Source organism: Homo sapiens, chromosome 2 (assembly GCF_000001405.40).
Source record: "Homo sapiens chromosome 2, GRCh38.p14 Primary Assembly".
Taxonomy (NCBI): Eukaryota; Metazoa; Chordata; class Mammalia; order Primates; family Hominidae; genus Homo; species Homo sapiens.
In genome coordinates, this window is record NC_000002.12 from 44981504 (window position 1) to 45001579 (window position 20076).

Genomic DNA, 20076 nt, shown 5'->3' on the forward strand with positions numbered 1-20076 from the left:
CCTCCTCTGGTCCTATCTTTTTAAGGAACTTGGAGCATGTTTATTCTATACCAGTCTCCTTTGGGAAAGATTGCTAGGCTTGTAACATTGCAATTCTCAGACCCCAAAGCACAAGCTTTGAAAAACTGAAGTCGTATTGGTAAGCAGGACAGTGGTTTTCCACCTGGTTGGTACATGGCACCCTTGCAGGTTTGGGGTCTCTGGAGGATTGAGCTTTAGGGCTGAGTGTTAGGGAGGAACGGAATCTCCAAGTGGAGGGAATCCGAGCCTACGTTTCTCCAGCAGGTGGCGCCATAACTTTACCTTCCGCGTCTCCGTCGCCTGCGATGGAAGCCGAATTTGCAGGCAGTGATGTGAGGCAGCTGTCTGGGAATCCTCTCCTCTGTATTTAGGGCTTTAATATCTCATAGAAACCCACATCATCTTCTCTCCAACTGACCTTCTCCAAGCCACTCTCATCCCCAAACCCTCGATATTTCTGATTCTTTATCTGAGAATCGTGAACAACCCTTCATAAACATGTCAGAAATACTGACGGTCCTTCCAGACCTGGAACACTGTGGAAGAGTTTGGGCAAGTCATAAATGATGCTCTCGATCACTCCCACATTCTGCGACTGTCCCCAGACCCTCCGCCTCTTCTCAGAGGTCTGCCATCAGGATCTTCAGCGTGTATGATTTGCTTACTTTGTCAGCCTAATCATAAGGTAACTTGAGCTCATAGCAGACTCACCTGGAGGCTTATTCAAGCACAGATTGCTGGGCCCCACCCCAGAGTTTCTGATTCAGTAAATCTGCTGGGATGGGGGGCAAGAATTTACATTTCTGATAGTTTCTCAGATAATGCTAATATTGCTGGTGCTGGAACCACACTGCGAGAAATACTGTTCTAAAACAAATCCTTTTAACTTGGAGTCCACAGACACCCCCTTCCCTTCACCAAGAGATTAATAGGGTTTTTAAACATCTCTCAGGGGTTAGGTAAAGCCACAAGGCAGATGATCATCTGGATTTCACTCTGAACAGTGTTTGGAAAGATGGACTCTGGACCGATAAGGTTGGAGCATACATACATATGTGTGTGTGTGTGTGTGTGTGTGTGTGTGTGTATATATATATATATATTTTTTTTTTTTTTTTTTTTTTTTTGAGAAAGAGTCTCAGTCACCCAGGCTGGAGTGCAGTGGTACCATCTGAGCTCACTGCAACCTCCACCTCCCAGGTTCAAGCAATTCTCCTGCCTCAGCCTCCCGAGTACCTGGGATTACAGGTACAGGCCACCATAACTGCCTGATTTTTGTATTTTTAGTAGAGATGGGGTTTGACCATGTTGGCCAGGCTGGTCTCGAACTCCTGACCTCAAGTGATCTGCCTGCCTCGGCCTCCCGAAGTGCCAGGATTACAGGCATGGGCCACTGCGCCGGACCAAGAGCATATATTTTTACACATGTTTACACCTTACTACATGAGTTAGGACTGATCCTGGTTTTACAGAATCTCAGAGTTCACTTACCTAATTCAATTGCTTACCCAATGCAGGCATCCTTCCTGCAATTTGACAACTTGATAGCAGCAGGGTCCCTTCCAGTTTGCAGATGATGTTCATAGCTCTTTAATGCTCACTGCAACCCTGTGAGGAACACTGGTGAAGTGACTCACCCAAGGACTCCTAGCTACTAAGTGGCAGGATTTATTAGTGTCATCTGACTTCAAGGTCAGCACTCTGTGCAACACAGCTACCTCCCCATCATGCTTGGTAAATGTTTCTCCACTTCTTTTCTTTTCTTTTCTTTTTTTTTCTTGAGACAGAGTCTCACTCTGTCGCCCAGGCTGGAGTGCAGTGGTGCCATCTCAGCTCACTGCAACCTCCACCTCCTGGGTTCAAGCGATTTTCCTGCCTCAGCCTCTTGAGTAGCTGGGATTACAGGCATGCGCCATCACCCCTGGCTAATTTTTGTATTTTTAGTAGAGATGAAGTTTCACCATGTTGGCCAGGCTGATCACGAACTCCTGACCTCAGGTGATCTGCCTGCCTCAGCCTCCCAAAGTGCTGGGATTACAGGCATGAGCCAATGCACCCGGCCCATCCAATTCTTAGTGAATACTGATACAATGGCCACAATTACTCCCTCCTAAGGTGGTGAGTCCCACTGTTTGAGACCTCGGGTTTTGAAAAACACTTTCCTTATTGTCTGGTAATCCTCTGCTGCATAACCACTTTACCCCAAAACTTAGTGATTTAAAACAACAGGCTGGGTATAGTGTCTTACACCTGTAATCCCAGCTCTTTGGAAGGGTGATGTGGGAGGATCGCTTGAGTCTAGGAATTTGAGACCAGCCTGGCCAACATGGCGAGACTCTATCTCCACAAAAAGTAAAAAAAATAGCCAGGTGTGGTGGCACACACCTGTAGTTACTTGGAAAGCCAAGGTAGGAGAATGGCTTGAGTCCAGGAGGTTGAAGGTTCGGTGAGCTGTGTTTGTGCCACTGCACTCCAGCTTGGGCAACAGAGTGAGACCCTGTCTCAAAACAAAACCAACCACAACAAAAAACCCCAAAAAACCAAAACCAAACCAAAACAACAACCGTGTTCTTCTATCTCATGATTTTGTGCACGAGGAATTCAGAGAGCACTCGCTTGGATGATTCTTCTGTTCCGTGGGGCATTTAGTTGGCCAGTGAGCTGGTCTGGAGGGTCCAAGACAGCTTCTCTTGCACATCTGGTGCCTTGGCAGGGAGGGCTGGAAGGCTGGGCTGGTCTGGACCTATCAACTAGAGCACATCATGGGCCTCAGGGCAGTTGGGCTTCTCTCAGGGAGGCTCAGAGCTCCCCAAGTGAGCGAGGGAGAGTTCCAGTAAATGAGGTGGAACCTGCATACCCTTTTATGACCTAGACTTGGAAGTTACGTAACACCACTTCCACCACATCCTCATTGTCAGAGGCCTGCCCAGGTTGGAAGAGAAGGGAGATAAATTCTGCCTCTTGATAGGACAAGTATAAAAACTTTTGCCACCATGCTTTGAAACCACGTTATTTAATTGAAGTTAGCTTTTCTGTATCTGCCTCTAGCTGTACACTTTCTAAATCTAGTCTTTATTCTCTATTTAAAACCTTTTTGTCAAGGTTCAAGGCAGCCTCTCTAGATACCTAAGGTCGATGACTCAGTCCACAAAATGATGCCTTGGGGTGAGACACCAAAATAACAGAACTCTCATTCGTATTTTAATTTTACCTAAAGAATGTAAAGTGAGCCTTTACTAATGTTTTATATAAGATTTGACACTGACACCCACCTTCAGGCTGTGTTTCAGGTGGGTATTTGTTACCTGCTATACACAAGCTATGCCAAGGGAAGAGGGGGTGTTCCCCAACAGGATTGCAAGTGGGGACTTGAGCCATTTGTGTGCCTTGTGTTACAGAAATGCTTGAGTTTATGGGTGCCAAGACAATGGGATCTAGCTTCAGTAAAATTACCCATCCCCAAATGGTTAAGAAACTTTCAAAGATTTTTGTAAACAATCTTTAGATTGAAAAACTAGACAATTAATACAATCAAACAATGGGAAAAAAAATGACAGAGTAGGCATTTCAGCTCCTGGCTTGGACACTTCATCTGTCATGTTATGAGGTGAAAACAATAATACCCTGGTCAGATCAGACAAGGCCAGACCAAAAAAAAATAAAAATTATGGAGGTTATTTGAAATATGAATTTGCATCTACTATTGGTATTGCTGTTAAATTTGCATCTACTATTGGTATTGCTGTTAAAAATAAGATATTAAAATGTTAGAGCTAATTTTATACCTTATTCAATTTTAATAATTTTTATGTGGTTTATAATGTACATAATATCGTATACTATATATTTAAAATACATATATGGGTCATGCTCAAATATTTTTTTCTGATTCAGCATATGAACAAAAACTTTGGAGACCAATGGAATCTATTTCCATCTTTCCATTAATTTAGCAGATATTTATTAAGCATGTACTATACAAATGTACATAATATACTAAATATTAAATATACAAAAATAAGTAAGGTCTTTGCCTTCAGGTATTTTGGAAGATATGTTTTTTTCAAAATTACAGCTGGACGTGGTGGTTCACACCTGTAATCCCAGCACTTTGGGAGGCCAAGGCGGGTGGATCACCTGAGGTCAGGAGCTCGAGACCAGCCTGGCCAACATGGTGAAACCCCGTTTCTACTAAAAATACAAAAATTAGCCGGACATGGTGGCACGCACCTGTAATCCCAGCTACCCTGGAGACTGAGGCAGGAGAATCGCTGGAACCCAGGAGGCAGAGGCTTCAGTGAGCTGAGACTGTGCCACTGCACTCCAGCTTGGGCAATAGAGTGAGACACTGTCTCAAAAATAATAAAATAAAATAATAAAATTATTTGAAATAAAGTGTCATGATAGAATTGTTCACAAAGTACTGTGAAACACTCAAGTAAAAGTACGTCAATTCAGGATGTGCGCGGTGGCTCATGCCTGTAATCCCAGCACTTTGGGAGGCTGAGGCGGGTGGATCACAAGGTCAGGAGATTGAGACCATCCTGGCTAACACGATTAAACCCCGTCTCTACTAACAATACAAAAAATTAGCCAGGCACGGTGGCGGGCGCCTGTAGTCCCAACTACTCAAGAGGCTGAGGCAGGAGAATGGCATGAACCCGGGAGGTGGAGCTTGCAATGAGCCGAGACCACACCACTGCACTCCAGCCTGGGCAACAGAGCAAGACTCCATCTCAAAAAAAAAAAAAAAAGTAAGTCAATTCTACCTAGGGGAATCAACCATGGAGGACTTCACAGAGGAGGTGACATACGTAACAAGTGCATGGTGGCAGACACTTGCCTTCTTGTTCTTTCTCTTCTTTGGACCTTCTCCAGCTCTGTTATGGCTTCCTTTGAGCATAGTGATCCATTTTGCACACAGTATTCCAAAGAACAGGGAAGAAGAGTATTTCCAAACCTCTTCCGGTTGACATTTGGAAATAGGCTATGTACTCCATGATGTCAGGGTCCACGTTATGCACATAATTGCAAACTGGCACTGGGTATGATGCCTGGCACATCATAGACTCTTGATTAATATTGTGCAATTGAATTGCATTGGACTTCTTGACTACACCAGTTCATTAGTTAATGTCTTTGGAGAGTAGCTAAGAATAATCTGTGTGCCTTCACCTTCAGCTCCCAACTCACACATTTAGGTGGGTTATTATCCATCTCCAGTCTGGCCATCACTTACCTCAGTTTACTGGTCTTTTTCTCAGGAGCCTTCATGAGATCTTCCTGAATTTGTTCACATCCTCTTGGTCCTTCACTCCCTCAAAAGCATAGTGTCTTCTGAAAATCTGGAGATTTTATCATATTCTTCCAGATTATTCATAAAAATTAGGTAAAAATATTTCTGGTACTGATTCAATAGGCTGGAAAGTGGAAAAATTAAACTCTCTCTGTTTTTCAATAGCTTATCTCCTCCTTAGCTATGAAAAAAAAAAACAGCTGTGGGTTTTAAACAGACCTCTTCTACTTCTGGGCTTTTCCTGAGAGAGGCAGCCTGATAAAAATCTGAACTAAAAGTGAGAACATCTCTGGAAGTCGCCTGAGTCCACACAAATTCATCTAGGGATCTATGTGGCTGAACACTTCCTGCATCCAGTGCCTAGCTGTATTGCAACTTACCTGTCCATAATACCCTCTGGTGGGAACAGCATGCAATGGGAAATGAGGCGCTGCACCTTCTTGGCTAAGCCCATTCATTGCCTTAGGCTGTACTTTCAACTGAGTCATATAATTTTTCTGTCCGTTTTTGAAGTAAGAATGGTCAGACTTAATACTATACCCCAAGGAAATATTAAGAGAATGAATGCAAATTACAGAAATAAAAGGACTGTAGGGTTCCAGGAGAAAGATTATGCTTTTTGAATATGGAAAGGTAGTTTTGAAGTTAGAATTAGATGCAAGCACATGTGCCAGAAAACCCAAGAAATTGATAACTAAAATAAGATCAGAGTTTATCTCTCTTTTACTTAAATGAAGTCTGGAGTCAGAAGTCTAGGGCTAGATAGCTACTCAAAATCATGTAAGTTTCAGGCTCCTGTCTGGCTGCTCCACCAACTTTAGCATACTGCCTCTTGGTCCAAGGTGGCTGTGCAAGCTCCAGTCATCATATCCGTATTCCTGTCATCAGGAAGGAGGAATGGAGAAGAAAGGAATCTTCTTCCTTGAAGAACACTTCTAGAAATTTGCATACAACACTTCCAATTATATTTATTAGCTGAAACTTAGTTACATAGTACATCTAGCTGCAAGGGAGGCTGGACAATGTAGTTTTATTTTGAGCACCATGTACCCAGCTACAAATTGCAAGTTTTATTATCAGGAAAGAAGTGGAGACTAAATAAAGGAGACTAATAGCAGTGCATGAAGTAGGAAGGTGCAGATCATTGCCAGAAAGAAAATTATACTAATAGCCTATCAAGCACATACACAAAGTACTAAGAAATATGAAAATTATTGCTTATTTTATTTTAATACACAAGGGGGGACCTCCTTGTGTATTAATCCATTTTTGCAGTGCTATAAGGAAATACCTGAGACTGGGTAATGTATAGAGACAAGAGGTTTCATTGGCTCACGGTTCTGCAGGCTGCACAGGAAGTATAGTGGCTTCCACTTCTGAAGAGGCCCCAGGAAGCTTCTAATCATGGCAGAAGGCAAAGTGGGAGTAAGGTGTCTCACATGGCAGGATCAGGAGTGAGGGGTGGGGGTTCTACACACTTTTAAACAACAAGATTTCATAAGAACTCATTCATTCAGTATCATGAGAACACCACCAAGGAGATGGTGCTAAAGCATTCATGAGAAATCCACCCCCATGATCCAGTCACCTCCCACCAGACCCCACCTCCAACACTGGGGATTACAATTCAACATGAGATTTGGGCAGAGCCACAGATCCAAACCCTATCACCTTTGGTCACCTAATGGGTCTATACTGGATTCACCTTAGAGGAGCATCAGGAAGTTTCTTCTCTCTGATCTTTTATTTTCTTCCCTCCTCATTGCCACTCACCCCCATCTTTTCACACTCTGATTTTCCCTCAAAGTCTTAATTCTTCCTCCTCTTAGCCTCTAGCTCCAGCTGTCAGTCATCACTCTGGCATAGAAAATGCAGGAAGATAGCCCTTCCCAGGCCAGCTTCACAGAATACAGCAGCAAAACAGACCCCTATGTTGCTAATACTGATTGCTTCTTAGAGCACACTATGATAACTGAGCCTCTATCACTTTTTTATTTTTTCTTTTCTTTTTTGTTTTTTTGAAATGGACTTTTGCTCTTGTCACCCAGGCTGGAGTCCATTGGCATGATCTTGGCTCACTGCAACCTCCACCTCCTGGGTTCAAGCAATTCTCCTGTCTCAGCCTCACGAGTAGCTGGGATTACAGGTGCCCACCACCACACAAGCTGATTTTTGTATTTTTAGTACAGATGGGGTTTCACCATGTTGGCTAGGCTGGGCTCAAACTCCTGACCTCAAGTGATCTACTCACCTCGGCCTCCCAAAGTGCTGGGATTACAGGCGTGAACCACCGTGCCCAGCTTCTGTCACTTTTTTTCTATCTCATCAAAGATCTCCTGTTTTCCTGATTTGGAGATAAAGTAATTCTCCCTGCTCAATTATTGAGAAACTAAATATCCCACATGTGGATTTTCCAAGTTCTCATTGGTAAGCAATGCCCTCATTACACATCATATGTTATCTGACTATAGCACATTCCAGAAGTGGGTAGGATATTTATAAATAATGGGTATGGGGGCAGAAGCATTGCCTAGGAGGATTCCAGTCTTAGGAAACTGGCTGGGAGGCATCAGAGCTAAGAATTCAAGAGATCTTGTTCTAGGATAAAATTCCCTGTTTGCCGTTGGTATTTGTTTGAAGCGTCACCCCTAGCACTCTGCAGAAGGTCAGCCTGGGTTTCCTTGATGAAAGGAAATATGGGATAAGGGCCTGTGATTTCTGACAGGATTGAAGCCAGTGGAATGTGATGTCAGTAAGATGCTTTTGGTCCCAAGAAACAGAATATCCAATGATGGGAAAATGTTTTTGGTTCACATAAATGAAATATCTAGAGGTAGGGCAACCTTCAAGTATAATTGGATCAAGGCTCTGGCTTACTTTCTCCAGAATTCTCAAAAGTCAGCCGTCCTCAGTGTGGGTGGCCTTGCCCTCAGGCTATCTTCCCTCTTGGTAGCAAAATGACTGCAGCAGTTCCAGATCACAAACCTCATATCACTCAGTCAAAACAGAGAGAGAAAGCAATCTTCTCTTCCTTTAATGGACTTAGGTCCTTAAGTTCTGCACTTCTCTGTGATTTAACAAATCTAAACCAATCATGACTGCATGCAGACTGCCATGTTGATCTAGGCCTGGGTTACATGACCATTCTTTTAAGCAATTACTGTGGCAAGAGGGGTGGAGTTATATTGTTGGTATTAAGACAATCAGGATCCTCCCCTGAAGCTGGGGCTGGGGTCAGTATGAGCCAAACCTACATGGCTGCTATGCAAGGGGGAGAGATGAGTAGCCAAAGGAAAATCTATGGGCTGTTAGGAAGAGATGGGAGTCAAGGAATGGTATCTGGTATAAGTGACCCTACCAGGGTATCTTATTTCTGGGTTCTACCGAAATCAAAGGACTGTCAAGAGGGAAGGGAAGAAGTCCAGATGAGCAACTAAACCAGGTTAGTGGCCTGAGGCAGCTGTAGGGCTCTAAATTGGAGGATGAAGCCAGGTGGGCACAGAACCAAGAAGGTAGCAGGAAATATTGGAAGGAACCATTTTTAGTAAAATCCTTTTTGAAGTTCTGGCAAAATTTTAGCTGTGTTATAAGAACAAGGGTAAGGCTGGGCATGGTGACTCAATGTCTGTAATCCCAGCACTTTGGGAGGCCAAGGCAGGTGGATTACCTTGAGTTTGAAACCAGCCTGGGCAACATGGCAAAACTTCATCTCTACAAAAACATACCAAAAAATTAGCTGGGCATGGTGATGTGTGCGTGTCGTCGTGGCTACTTAGAAGGCTGAGATGGCAGGACCGTTCAAGCCCTGGAGGTGGAAACTGCAGTGATCTGTGCTGGTGCCACTGCGCTCCAGCCCAGGCAAGACTCTGTCTCAATAAAACAGGAACAAAAACAAAAAAACAAAACAAAGATAGCGTTTATTGCTGGGCCAGTGTCAAGCCCTGAACTGGCCCTTGGAGCTACCATGGTAGTGTTAATCAGCAAAAGAAAGTATAGAGGGATGTGGCCAGGGTTCTGTGGGCCAAGACCCTATGCCACCAAGAGATTCTACCTCTCATGTTGACTTCTATATTTCATGGTGCAAAAGAAGATGACATTGCTTTGCAACTTCTCTGAGGTATGGGAATGTGGCACCTCCCATTCTAGGAAAACTGTTAGTTGATTATGGATAAATCCAGGTATCCCTGAGCTTCCTGACTCCTCACTTTGACTCCTCCTATATCTTCCTTTCCTTCTTACCTTATACCTCTTGATTCCTCTTCTGTCTTCTTTTTCCTGTAAGCTTTTTCTTTTCTCTTTTCCTTTTTTTGTCCAGTCTCTTCATTTCTCTTCATTCTGCTTTTTCCTTCTCTGTCTTCATGTTCTCTTCTCTCCATCTCCTTTTTTCTTTCTTCTGATATTTCACAGATGTCTGACTAAATTATCTCTTCTATATAGATTTGAGCTTGATTTAAAAAATGATTATAGAGGGTGGAGGAAGGAGGAGTCAACAATGCCTGTGGAGCCAGGACAACCAGCCACCTGGGTAGGTTCAGGAAAGTCACTTCATCTCTCTGAACCTTAGCTTTCTCAACTGAAAAACTGAGAGGTGGATTATATGTTTTTTTTTCCCCAGGGCCCTTGTACTGCCCTTTAGGACATCTGGAAAAGGAGGCTAGGGGCCAGTCCCTCTGAATCTAGCCCTGGGTTTGTTTTTATTTGGGGTGAGTGGGGGCAAAAGTGGCATCTCTAATGGTGGGGGTGAAGATTAGTGACTGCTAATTGGCAGTTCAGGACAATGACCAAACTGAGGACCATGGCCTTTTCCCATCCTGGTAGGAGAGTCATGGTTTTGTAAAATAGTATTCAGTGTAAACTGGAGGCTCATTTCGTAGCACTTGAGAATATTGTCAGACAACAAAACTCACTTTATCTGGGAATGTCTAATTTCTCCTTCATTTCTGAAGGATGGTTTTGTCAGATGTAGAATCTCAGTTGAGAAGTGTTTATTTTTCTTTTTTTCAGCACTTTGAATATGTCATCCTACTGTCTTTTGGCTTCCACGGTTTCTGATCAGAAATCAGCTGCTAATCTGATTGAGGGTCCCTTGTACATGATGAGTTGCTTCTTTGTTGATGTTTTCAAGATTCTCTCTTTATCTTGCAACACTTTGATTATAATGTGTATCATCATGGATCTCTTTGGGGTTTTCCTGCTTGGAATTCATTGAGTTTCTTGGATATGTACATTTATGCTTTTCATCAAATTTGGGAAGTTTTTGTTCATTATTTTATCAAATGTTCTTTTCTGTCTGTCCCTTTCTTTCTCTTCTCTCTTTCTGGGACTATCATTATGCTTATGTTGGTATGCTTGATGATGTCCCACAGATCTCATACGTTCTGTTCATTTTTCTTCATTCTTTTTTCTTTCTGTTGCTTAGACTAAATAATCTCAACTGACCTATCTTCAAGTTTGCTCATTCCTTTGTCTGCCAGATAAAATCTTCTGCTGTATTCCTCTAGTAAAATTTTTCAGTTACTGTACTTTTCAACTCCAGAATTTCGATTTGGTTCCTTTTTATAGTTTCTATTTCTTTATTGCTATTTTCTATTTTGGTGATACATCATTCTCATGCTTTCCTTTAGTTCTTCTTTTAAACATTTTTTATTTATTCATTTGTTTATTTTTATAGAGATGAGGCCTCACTATGTTGCCCAGACTGGTCTCAAACTCCTGGGTTCAAGCAATGCTTCCAAAGTGCTGGGATTACAGGCATGAGCCACTGTCCCTGGCCTCCTTTAGTTCTTTAAACAGAGTTTCCTATAGTTCTTTGAACTGATCTCAAAGTCCTTATCTAGTAAGTCCAATGTATGGGCTTCTTCAGGGTCAGTTTCTATTGATTCCATTTTTTTCTGCATGTGGGAAATTTTTCTTATTTCTTTGCATGCCTCGTAATCTTTTATTAAAGCTGTATATTTTCAATATTATGTGGCAACTCTGGAAATCAGATATTACCCTGTCTCTAGCATTTGCTACTGTTGCTGTTTGCTTAGTGACTTTTCTAAACTAATTTAGTAAATTCTGTATTCTTTTTCATATGTGGCCACTGAAATCTCTGTTCCATTAGCTTAGTAGTCAGCTAATTAGACAGAGATTTCCTTAAACACTTGGAACAATGGCAACAACAAAAACACCCGGTCTTTGCAGAAGGACTAAGTGTGTATGTTGGGCATGTCTTCAACACTCAGCTAGGAATTTTACAACACTGCTTTACATTCTGCTTGTGCACAGCCTCAAGGTCAACCAGAGATAAGAACCCTATTAGAGCCTTCTCAGGTCTTACCTGGGCACACACACAACCTTGGGTATGCACATGGCCTTCTAGATTCCCAAGAATATATTGAATCTTTACAAAGCTCTTATTTCTCAAAGCATCTCACTCCCCAGCCTTTCCTCCCAAGCTTTTGGGTTAGCCTATTGTGTGCCCAACCATTATCCATTGCCTTAGGCAGCAGAAGCTAAAACATTTGCCTATAACTGTTATTGATAAATGCCTTTTGGTAGTGACTTTGGCATAAGACAACTTAGGCTGGCAAGATAAAGTCAAATCTTTTCAACAGGACTTCTGGGAGCCACCACCATCAACTAAGGACAATTTGTAAACGAGGTCCATCTGCTCCCTCCTGTATTAGTTCTGATGTGGGCTATTATTTTCAAGACTACTGCTGAGATGGTGAGCGTGGGATGGAACTAGGGGTAAGTCAAAATGTCACAAAGCTCTTTGTTCTTACTGAGATTCAGCTGGCTTCTTGAATAAGTGCTCCCTGGGTTGCTGCAAGCTTTTATCTAGTTTCCAGAGTTTTAGAAAGGTTGATTCTGACAGTTTTTGCTAATTAAAAAAATTGCCTTTATGGAAGTGTGGGCTTTTGGAATTCCTTATTCTGCCATTTTCACTGCCATTAAACTGGAGGGTTTTCCCCAAGAAACTCATTTTAAAATCCCAGCACAGCAGTTCAAAGACAGTAGGTTTAACTAATTATTTTCCAACCCAGTACTTAGTGTGTTAGTGTGAGTACTGCTCTACTTTATGTGACTTCTAAAGGACCAATGCTTTTATCCATGTGATCATTCTGAAGGTCTGTCTTCCAAAGATTTTAGGTTGCTTTCTGTGCTGATCATATTTCCTCTGTCACATCTATGAAATAAGAGGCTATGGACAGTCCTCTTTCCCATTATTATCATGGAACTGAAGTTCACAGAGTTTGCTGACTTGCTCACGGTTGCACAGGAAGGTGAAGATGGAGGTAAAATTCCAGACCTCCTGATTCCCCATCTAGTGCTCTCTCCGTGAGATAAAGATGGGAGACGTGTGCAGGTTGCTCTGTGTGAGTAAATCAGAATTTCATCTTTTCCATTAACCTTAAGTGTTGGCCTCAGTTGATCTCTCCCTATACCCACTTTCTCTTTACCCCACTCCCCCATTTCCATCGATCATGAAGAAAAGAATTCCTTGGACTCTTTGACAGGCTGCTACCCTCTCTGGCTTTCAGGGAAAGAACATTCTTATTGAAAGCATTGATTCCAGAAGAGTTTACTCTTTTAGATTCTCTGCTGCCTGCTGTGGTCTATCCCAGAGAATCACACATGTTAGAGTTGGAAAGGATGCCTTTCCACTTTATAAATGAGGACACAGATCCAGTCATCTATCTACATTGGAGATTCTCTGCCTAGAATGCACATCACATTTATCTAGTTTATTAATTTGGCTGTTGTGCTCCAGGGGCAGATAAAGCACAGTGTGAATGGTGCCTATTGGGGTTGGTGATACTCTGGAATTGAATTAGACTAAATTACTGTAGGAAATAGATCCCAAAACATGTTGGCTCAAACACAAAAGCAGTTTATCTCTTCCTTTTTCTGGGACAGCTATCCCAGGTTGCGGGAGGGAGGTTACTCAGTGCTCCACTCCATGTAGTAATTTAGGGACCCAGGCTAACGATAGCGCTGCCATTTTCAAAGCATGACTTCCGAGGTGACTCTGGTTTTTGCCATTCAACAAGGAAATGGAAAGGGAAAAACAGTATGGGGAAGCACAGGTGGGAGATCTTATCGGCTGGGTCTTGAAGTGGCTCACAATGTGTCCACTCAAACATTTCTTTAGAAAAAACATGGTCTTAGGGCTACACTTAACAGCAAAATAGGCTGGGAAAGGTCATGTAGTTGGTCAGCCATATGCCAGGCTATAGTTGTTTCCAATGAAGATGGAAAAATGATGTTTATATCCTCATATCTGGTACTGAGCACACAGGTACTTAGAAAATATTAAGTTATGGGATAGATGAACAAGGGAAATGTTGAATAAATGAATGAAGGAGTGGGGTGATTCTTCCTTGGTTGTACAGCTAGTTACAGAAATTTTTCTGCAGACTTTACTATTTTTATTAGCAATGAAAAAGGTTACAAATCCCCCCAATATTTCTCCACATTTGCAGAAAACATTGTCACATGAACGCATGGGAAAATAACAATTGTCCCACTCTAAGGAAATTCAGTGGATAGAATTCTGAAACTACATTATATATATTTGGAGATATTCTTATTGATGTGATTTTAAACTTTACAAATAAATTAGCCACGGGTTATTGTTAACAAATTGATGTAGTGCTGTTTTTTAAGCAACTTTTTAAAATATACAATTTGCTATTATTTTTGTGTTTGTGTTATTGGTTTTATAGAAAGTCAGAACAACAATAAAGGTCCTTGGAGATAAACAAGTTCAATTCCCAATGAGTTCAGATACAATGTTCTTTCCTTCTTCAGCAATAGGATTTTAGTTGTATTAATACATGGTTGTCCCAAATAAAGCCCATATTTCACAGTCTTCCTATAAGTGCAGTGTGATCCTGAGGCTAGGTTCTGGACAATGGGATGTTGTGTAGCAGCTTCTAGGAATCTTACTTAAGAGACAGAATGTATGTGACTTTACCTTTTTCTTCAGTCTTCCTGGTGTCATCTTGGGACATGAGATTGAGATTATATACAGTGGAGCAACTAAGTAGGAGGAGCTTGACTTTGCACCAAACCTAGACTGCCTACCTAGACTTTAATGTGTGGGAGAAATAATCTTCTATTTTGCTTGAGACCTCTCATTTGGCTTTTTAAAAAAATTACTTCCAGCTGCAACTTGCCCAAATTATTACTCTATGCAACAATGAGGAAATGAAATGACTTGTGGTCACTTGTAGGAATTGGATCTCATGCAGTACCTCTATGTGCATTCTTCACTACAGAAAAAACAAGATAAGAAAAAAAAAACCCACCCCAAAACAAAACAAACAAAATACAATCCCCAAAACACTATGCAAACACCATGATAGTGAAAACAGCAACACTAATAACTACACATGCATAGAAAAAGGAAATTTACAGAGCACTGTTGCTTCTGTTCTAAAATCACTGAGAACTGACTAACATTTCATACACACTCAGTAAATCCTTTTCCTGGGATTTTTTTTCCCTGGCCACACAGGTAGCTCCATTTTCCAGCTTCCCTTGCAGTTGGTTGGTCATGTGACAAAGCTCCAGCCAATTGAATAAGAGTAAAAGTGCCGTTTTCTTGGTCAGAGGCGCCAATTTGACTCACAGGCAGGGCATGATGGTGGTGGGTACAGACACCTCACTGGCGATCTCCTCCCTCCTGTCCCTGCTGCTCTTCACTGGGATGCAGATGTAGATCCATCAGCTGGCCTCCACCGAGTGGCTTACCATCCAGGGTGGCCTGCATGGCTCAGGTCTCTTCGTGCTCTCCCTCACTGCCTTCAAGATTCTGGAGAATCTTGTGTTTGGCAAAGGATCCCAAGCAAAGACCTTCCCTGAGATTCTCCTGTGCCTCCTGTTGGCTCTCTTTGCATCTGGCCTCATCCACCGAGTCTGTGTCACCACCTGCTTCATCTTCTCCGTGGTTGGTCTGTGCTACATCAACAAGATCTCCACTCTGTATCAGGCAGCAGCTGCAGTCCTCACAGGACCTTGGCTCTTGCCAAGGTCACAGGCAAGAGCAAGAAGAGAAATTGACCTTGAATGTTCAATAAAGTTGATTATTTGTTTAAAAAAAAAAAAGAGTAAAAGTGTACCACTTCTAAACCGGCCCCCACCTCACACCTCCCATGCCTGTCCTCCACACTCGTTACTTATCCAGCAACTAAGTGCAAAGGATTCTAAGGTCCTAGGTGAGGATGGAACCATTTGATAAAAGAGCCTGGGTCCTTGAATCTCCCTGTGGGAAACCACCTGCTCACCGGAAGCACTCCTATTGAACTTTTGGGTGGGTGAAAAATAAGCTTATGTTTTGGAATTTATTTGTTACAGTGACACCTTATGTAGTCTTTTTTCCTGTTCTTTACCTCAACTCCATCTGGGTTGGAAGCTGACCTGTGTTGGGCAGATTTTGAGTTTGAGGTAGGTTTTTGTTGACATGCTACCAGGTATGTTGGGATTTTAGTCTTTCCTGGTCTCTGGTTTGGTGCCCAACACATCTTAGTTGTCTCTAGGTGATGTGGTGCTACACGTTTGTGCCTTCCTTGGCTCCTTCCTGGTCTCTAGGGAGGAAGGTGCTGCTGGCTGACGCCTGCCTGACTCCAAGTTTGTGTCTTGGCTCCAGATATCCTGGACTCTCACCTCCATCACCCTTTGTCATCACTCTTGTCTTCACTCATTCCTTGCCCCTAATTCCCTTCCCATTTCTTGCCATTGAATATTATTCGCCTTCAGGGCACTTGATTTACCTACTCCTTTAAGGTATAATAAATAAATTATAAAGTGATTCTCAGCCGGGCACTGTGGCTCACGCCTGTAATCCCAGCACTTTGGGAGGTGGAGATGGGCGGATCACCTGAGGTCACGAGTTCGAGACCAGCCTGGTCAACATGGTGAAATCCCGTCTCTACTAAAAACATAAAAATTAGTTGAGCATCGTGGTGCATGCCTGTAATTCCAGCTACTCAGGGGGCTGAGGCAGGAGAATCGTTTGAACCCGGGAGGTGGTGGAGGTTGCAGTGAGCCGAGATCGCACCACTGCACTCCAGCCTGGGCGACAGAGTGAGACTCCGTCTTAAAAAACAAAAACAAAAACAAAAACAAAAAAAAGTGATTCTTGACGTCTACACTTAAGGCTCCAGACCAACATCAGGGTCTAACCAGGGTCTAGGCTTTCAGATTAAACAAAAGCCTTGAGTCCCTTCTCATTTTCTCCAGTTACAAAATCTGCAGCTCTTTGGGCATCACCTACAAAACCTTGACCTTCTAAGAAAATCTCTGGCTCCAAGCTCATTGGCTGAAAGCTTTAACTGACAGGTCTCGAGTCCAGTGACAGAACAAAGCTCTGGTTCTCAGTTCTATCCACTTCCCCAGGCTTCTCTTGTATGGAAGTGGCCTCAGGCATTCCTTTTAGTGATTTCAGAGGCAGATTGTTCTGATTTTGAGATACTTTTACTTTAAGTCTCTGTGGCATCATCTAGACCTCCATGATGGCTGCCATCTCTCCACATCCTTCCCCCAATCCCAGGAGAGCAATCTTTATTCTTTGGGCTGGTTTGGTATCTGCTCTTTCCCCAAAACTTAACAACTCACCTCAAAAGTAGAGTGTAGAAGAAAGAGCCTCCATTAGCTCTGGGACCTCAGGAGAGCCACACATAACATCTTGAGCCTCAGTTTCTCATCTGCCAAACATGGACCAGAATTACTTTCCTGCCTACCTATATAATTGTGAATATTAAGCAATGAGAATTTTGTGAAACCGTTGAAATTCTGCAAAGTACCACATAAAGAATGCTAGGAACTATTCATATTACTTTGCTTTTTGAAACGATTCAGCTTCACCTTCTCTGCTTTTCTAATTCTCTCTGGCCACCTTCCCCACCCCATCAGTGCCAGGGCTCTTCCCTGGGAAGGAAATGGGAGGAGTACTCACACTTCTGGGTTTATCTCCTTAAGTTTAGCATCACCCTTAAGTTTAGCTCACTTCGCTAGGCTTGGATGGGTGACCTCCTTCATCAGTTCATGGTAGCTTTCCCGTGTCACCAAAAGCTTTGCCTCAGGACAATAGCCTATTTCATACACTTTATCTTAAAACTGATAGAATCATCTAGCTCTGGTGAAATCAGAGAGCTTGTACCACCAATATCTCCGCAGGTGGAGAAGGGGATGAAGGCTTCCAGTGGGGCCTGTGTGAGGCTGGGGGAGCAGAGATGGCCAGCTCTGTTCTGGTCTTTAGAGAGCAGGGTCTGGGTTCCCCCTCCCTCCCTGGCCTCTTTGCTCTGCAGTGGTAAACCAGAGTGACTGGAATGATGCTTTAATATACTGGCTCCCAGACAGAGAACTTTGCCCCCAACCCACCAGTGTGGGATTAATGGGGTAGGGTGGGGTGGGGAGAGGAGGACATCCCACAAGGACTAATGTCTCAGCCCTCAGGGTCCTTCTATCATCCTCAGTCTCATCTTCCTGAGCTGAGTGGCTGAGACCAGGTGGAGGTTGCAGAAGGAGGGGAAAGAGGGAGATAGCAGCAGGCTGACCTTGGGGTTCCACGGTTCCATCTTTACTCTGGAATAGCCAGCACTGGTAGAAACCCCTTCTGGGCTGCTGGACCGTGAGTCATGTCTACACAGTAGAGAGCAAGTGAGGAAAGAGTAATTTTGTGAATTGTTGAGGATATAAACTCTTTCACAGGATTTAAGCTATTTAAGGTGATCACTGAGGCTGTGAGTTCTGTTACCACCCCTCGGTCTACGTTTCACATAGCCCCAGAGCTGCTGATCCCTGCCTTTTTCATGGCCAAAATTGTATTTCCTACAAGGACTAACTGAGGATTGAGTAGCACGGTGTTCTCTCCCCACATCTAAGAGCTGTCCAGATCCCCCCACCGACCCCGCACCGTGGGAGTCACCACACCCGCCCCTGCTATCCAGAGCTCCTGGACCATGTGGGGCTCCAATCTCAAGCACTGAGCTCACTCACAGGCAGTCGGCATCCTGGGAAGAAAGTGGCTGCAAACTCTGAGACTGAGTTCAAATGCTCGTCCTGCTGCTGTAATTAATGTGTAACTCCAGCAAGTTCCTGATCCTGGCACCTTCGTTTCTTATACTGGTAATAATAATTTCTTGGTATGGGCTCTGTGAGAATTAAACAGATACCAAGTGTCTAAACTGCTCTATGCACATAGTATATGTTCAATAAATGGTAGTTATACACCAGGTGCAGTGGCTCACCCTCATAATCCCAGCACTTTGGGAGGCTGAGGTGGGAGGATTATTTGAGCCCAGGAGTTCAAGACCAGGGTAGGCAATGTAAGGAGACCCCATCTCTACAAAAAACTAAAAAAATTAGCCAAGCATGGTCACGCGCCAGTAGTCCTAGCTGCTGGGGAGACTGAGGCAGGGAGGATCATTTGAGCCCAGAAGTTCGAGTGAGCTATGATCGCACCACTGCGCCTGCACCCTGCGGCTGCTCTTACCCTCCTGCCCCACAGACCGGTTACTCTTTAGACGATCTCAGGTAGCTTAAGTCTGACTCTCGGGCTGGAGCAGCCGAGACAGCGCTCCCCAGCGGGACTACAGAATCCCGGGTGTCGGCCTGGGGGCCCTGGATTGGCAGTGGTGGAGTCTTCTGAGCCTAACAGCTACTAGGAATGACAGAGTTGCAGATGGCTTTGTCGCCCGCGGGGCGGCTCAAGCGTCCTGGGTCCCAGGCCTCTGTCCTACGGCCAGGCCGCCGGCTCAACGGGCCGAAGGGAATCGGGCTGACCAGTCCTAAGGTCCCACGCTCCCCTGACCTCAGGGCCCAGAGCCTCGCATTACCCCGAGCAGTGCGTTGGTTACTCTCCCTGGAAAGCCGCCCCCGCCGGGGCAAGTGGGAGTTGCTGCACTGCGGTCTTTGGAGGCCTAGGTCGCCCAGAGTAGGCGGAGCCCTGTATCCCTCCTGGAGCCGGCCTGCGGTGAGGTCGGTACCCAGTACTTAGGGAGGGAGGACGCGCTTGGTGCTCAGGGTAGGCTGGGCCGCTGCTAGCTCTTGATTTAGTCTCATGTCCGCCTTTGTGCCGGCCTCTCCGATTTGTGGGTCCTTCCAAGAAAGAGTCCTCTAGGGCAGCTAGGGTCGTCTCTTGGGTCTGGCGAGGCGGCAGGCCTTCTTCGGACCTATCCCCAGAGGTGTAACGGAGACTTTCTCCACTGCAGGGCGGCCTGGGGCGGGCATCTGCCAGGCGAGGGAGCTGCCCTGCCGCCGAGATTGTGGGGAAACGGCGTGGAAGACACCCCATCGGAGGGCACCCAATCTGCCTCTGCACTCGATTCCATCCTGCAACCCAGGAGAAACCATTTCCGAGTTCCAGCCGCAGAGGCACCCGCGGAGTTGCCAAAAGAGACTCCCGCGAGGTCGCTCGGAACCTTGACCCTGACACCTGGACGCGAGGTCTTTCAGGACCAGTCTCGGCTCGGTAGCCTGGTCCCCGACCACCGCGACCAGGAGTTCCTTCTTCCCTTCCTGCTCACCAGCCGGCCGCCGGCAGCGGCTCCAGGAAGGAGCACCAACCCGCGCTGGGGGCGGAGGTTCAGGCGGCAGGAATGGAGAGGCTGATCCTCCTCTAGCCCCGGCGCATTCACTTAGGTGCGGGAGCCCTGAGGTTCAGCCTGACTTTCCCGACTCCGCCGGGCGCTTGGTGGGCTCCTGGGCTTCTGGGCTCACCCTTACACCTGTGTACTAAAGGGCTGCTACCCTCCCGAGGTGTACGT

At 44.5% G+C, this 20076-nt stretch overlaps 2 pseudogenes, besides 1 other annotated feature; one reads left to right on the plus strand and one right to left on the minus strand.

Moving 5' to 3' along the window:
* On the minus strand, positions 14909–15401 carry KRTCAP2P1 (KRTCAP2 pseudogene 1; annotated as a pseudogene).
* On the plus strand, positions 14938–15417 carry LOC124907760 (keratinocyte-associated protein 2-like; annotated as a pseudogene).
* Positions 18577–19550: an enhancer, noted in NCBI's record as "H3K4me1 hESC enhancer chr2:45227219-45228192 (GRCh37/hg19 assembly coordinates)". NCBI's record gives its function as "activates a minimal SCP1, AML or CMV promoter by ChIP-STARR-seq in naive H9 embryonic stem cells {active_cell/tissue: H9 hESC(naive)}" and the evidence as "EXISTENCE:reporter gene assay evidence [ECO:0000049][PMID:30033119]".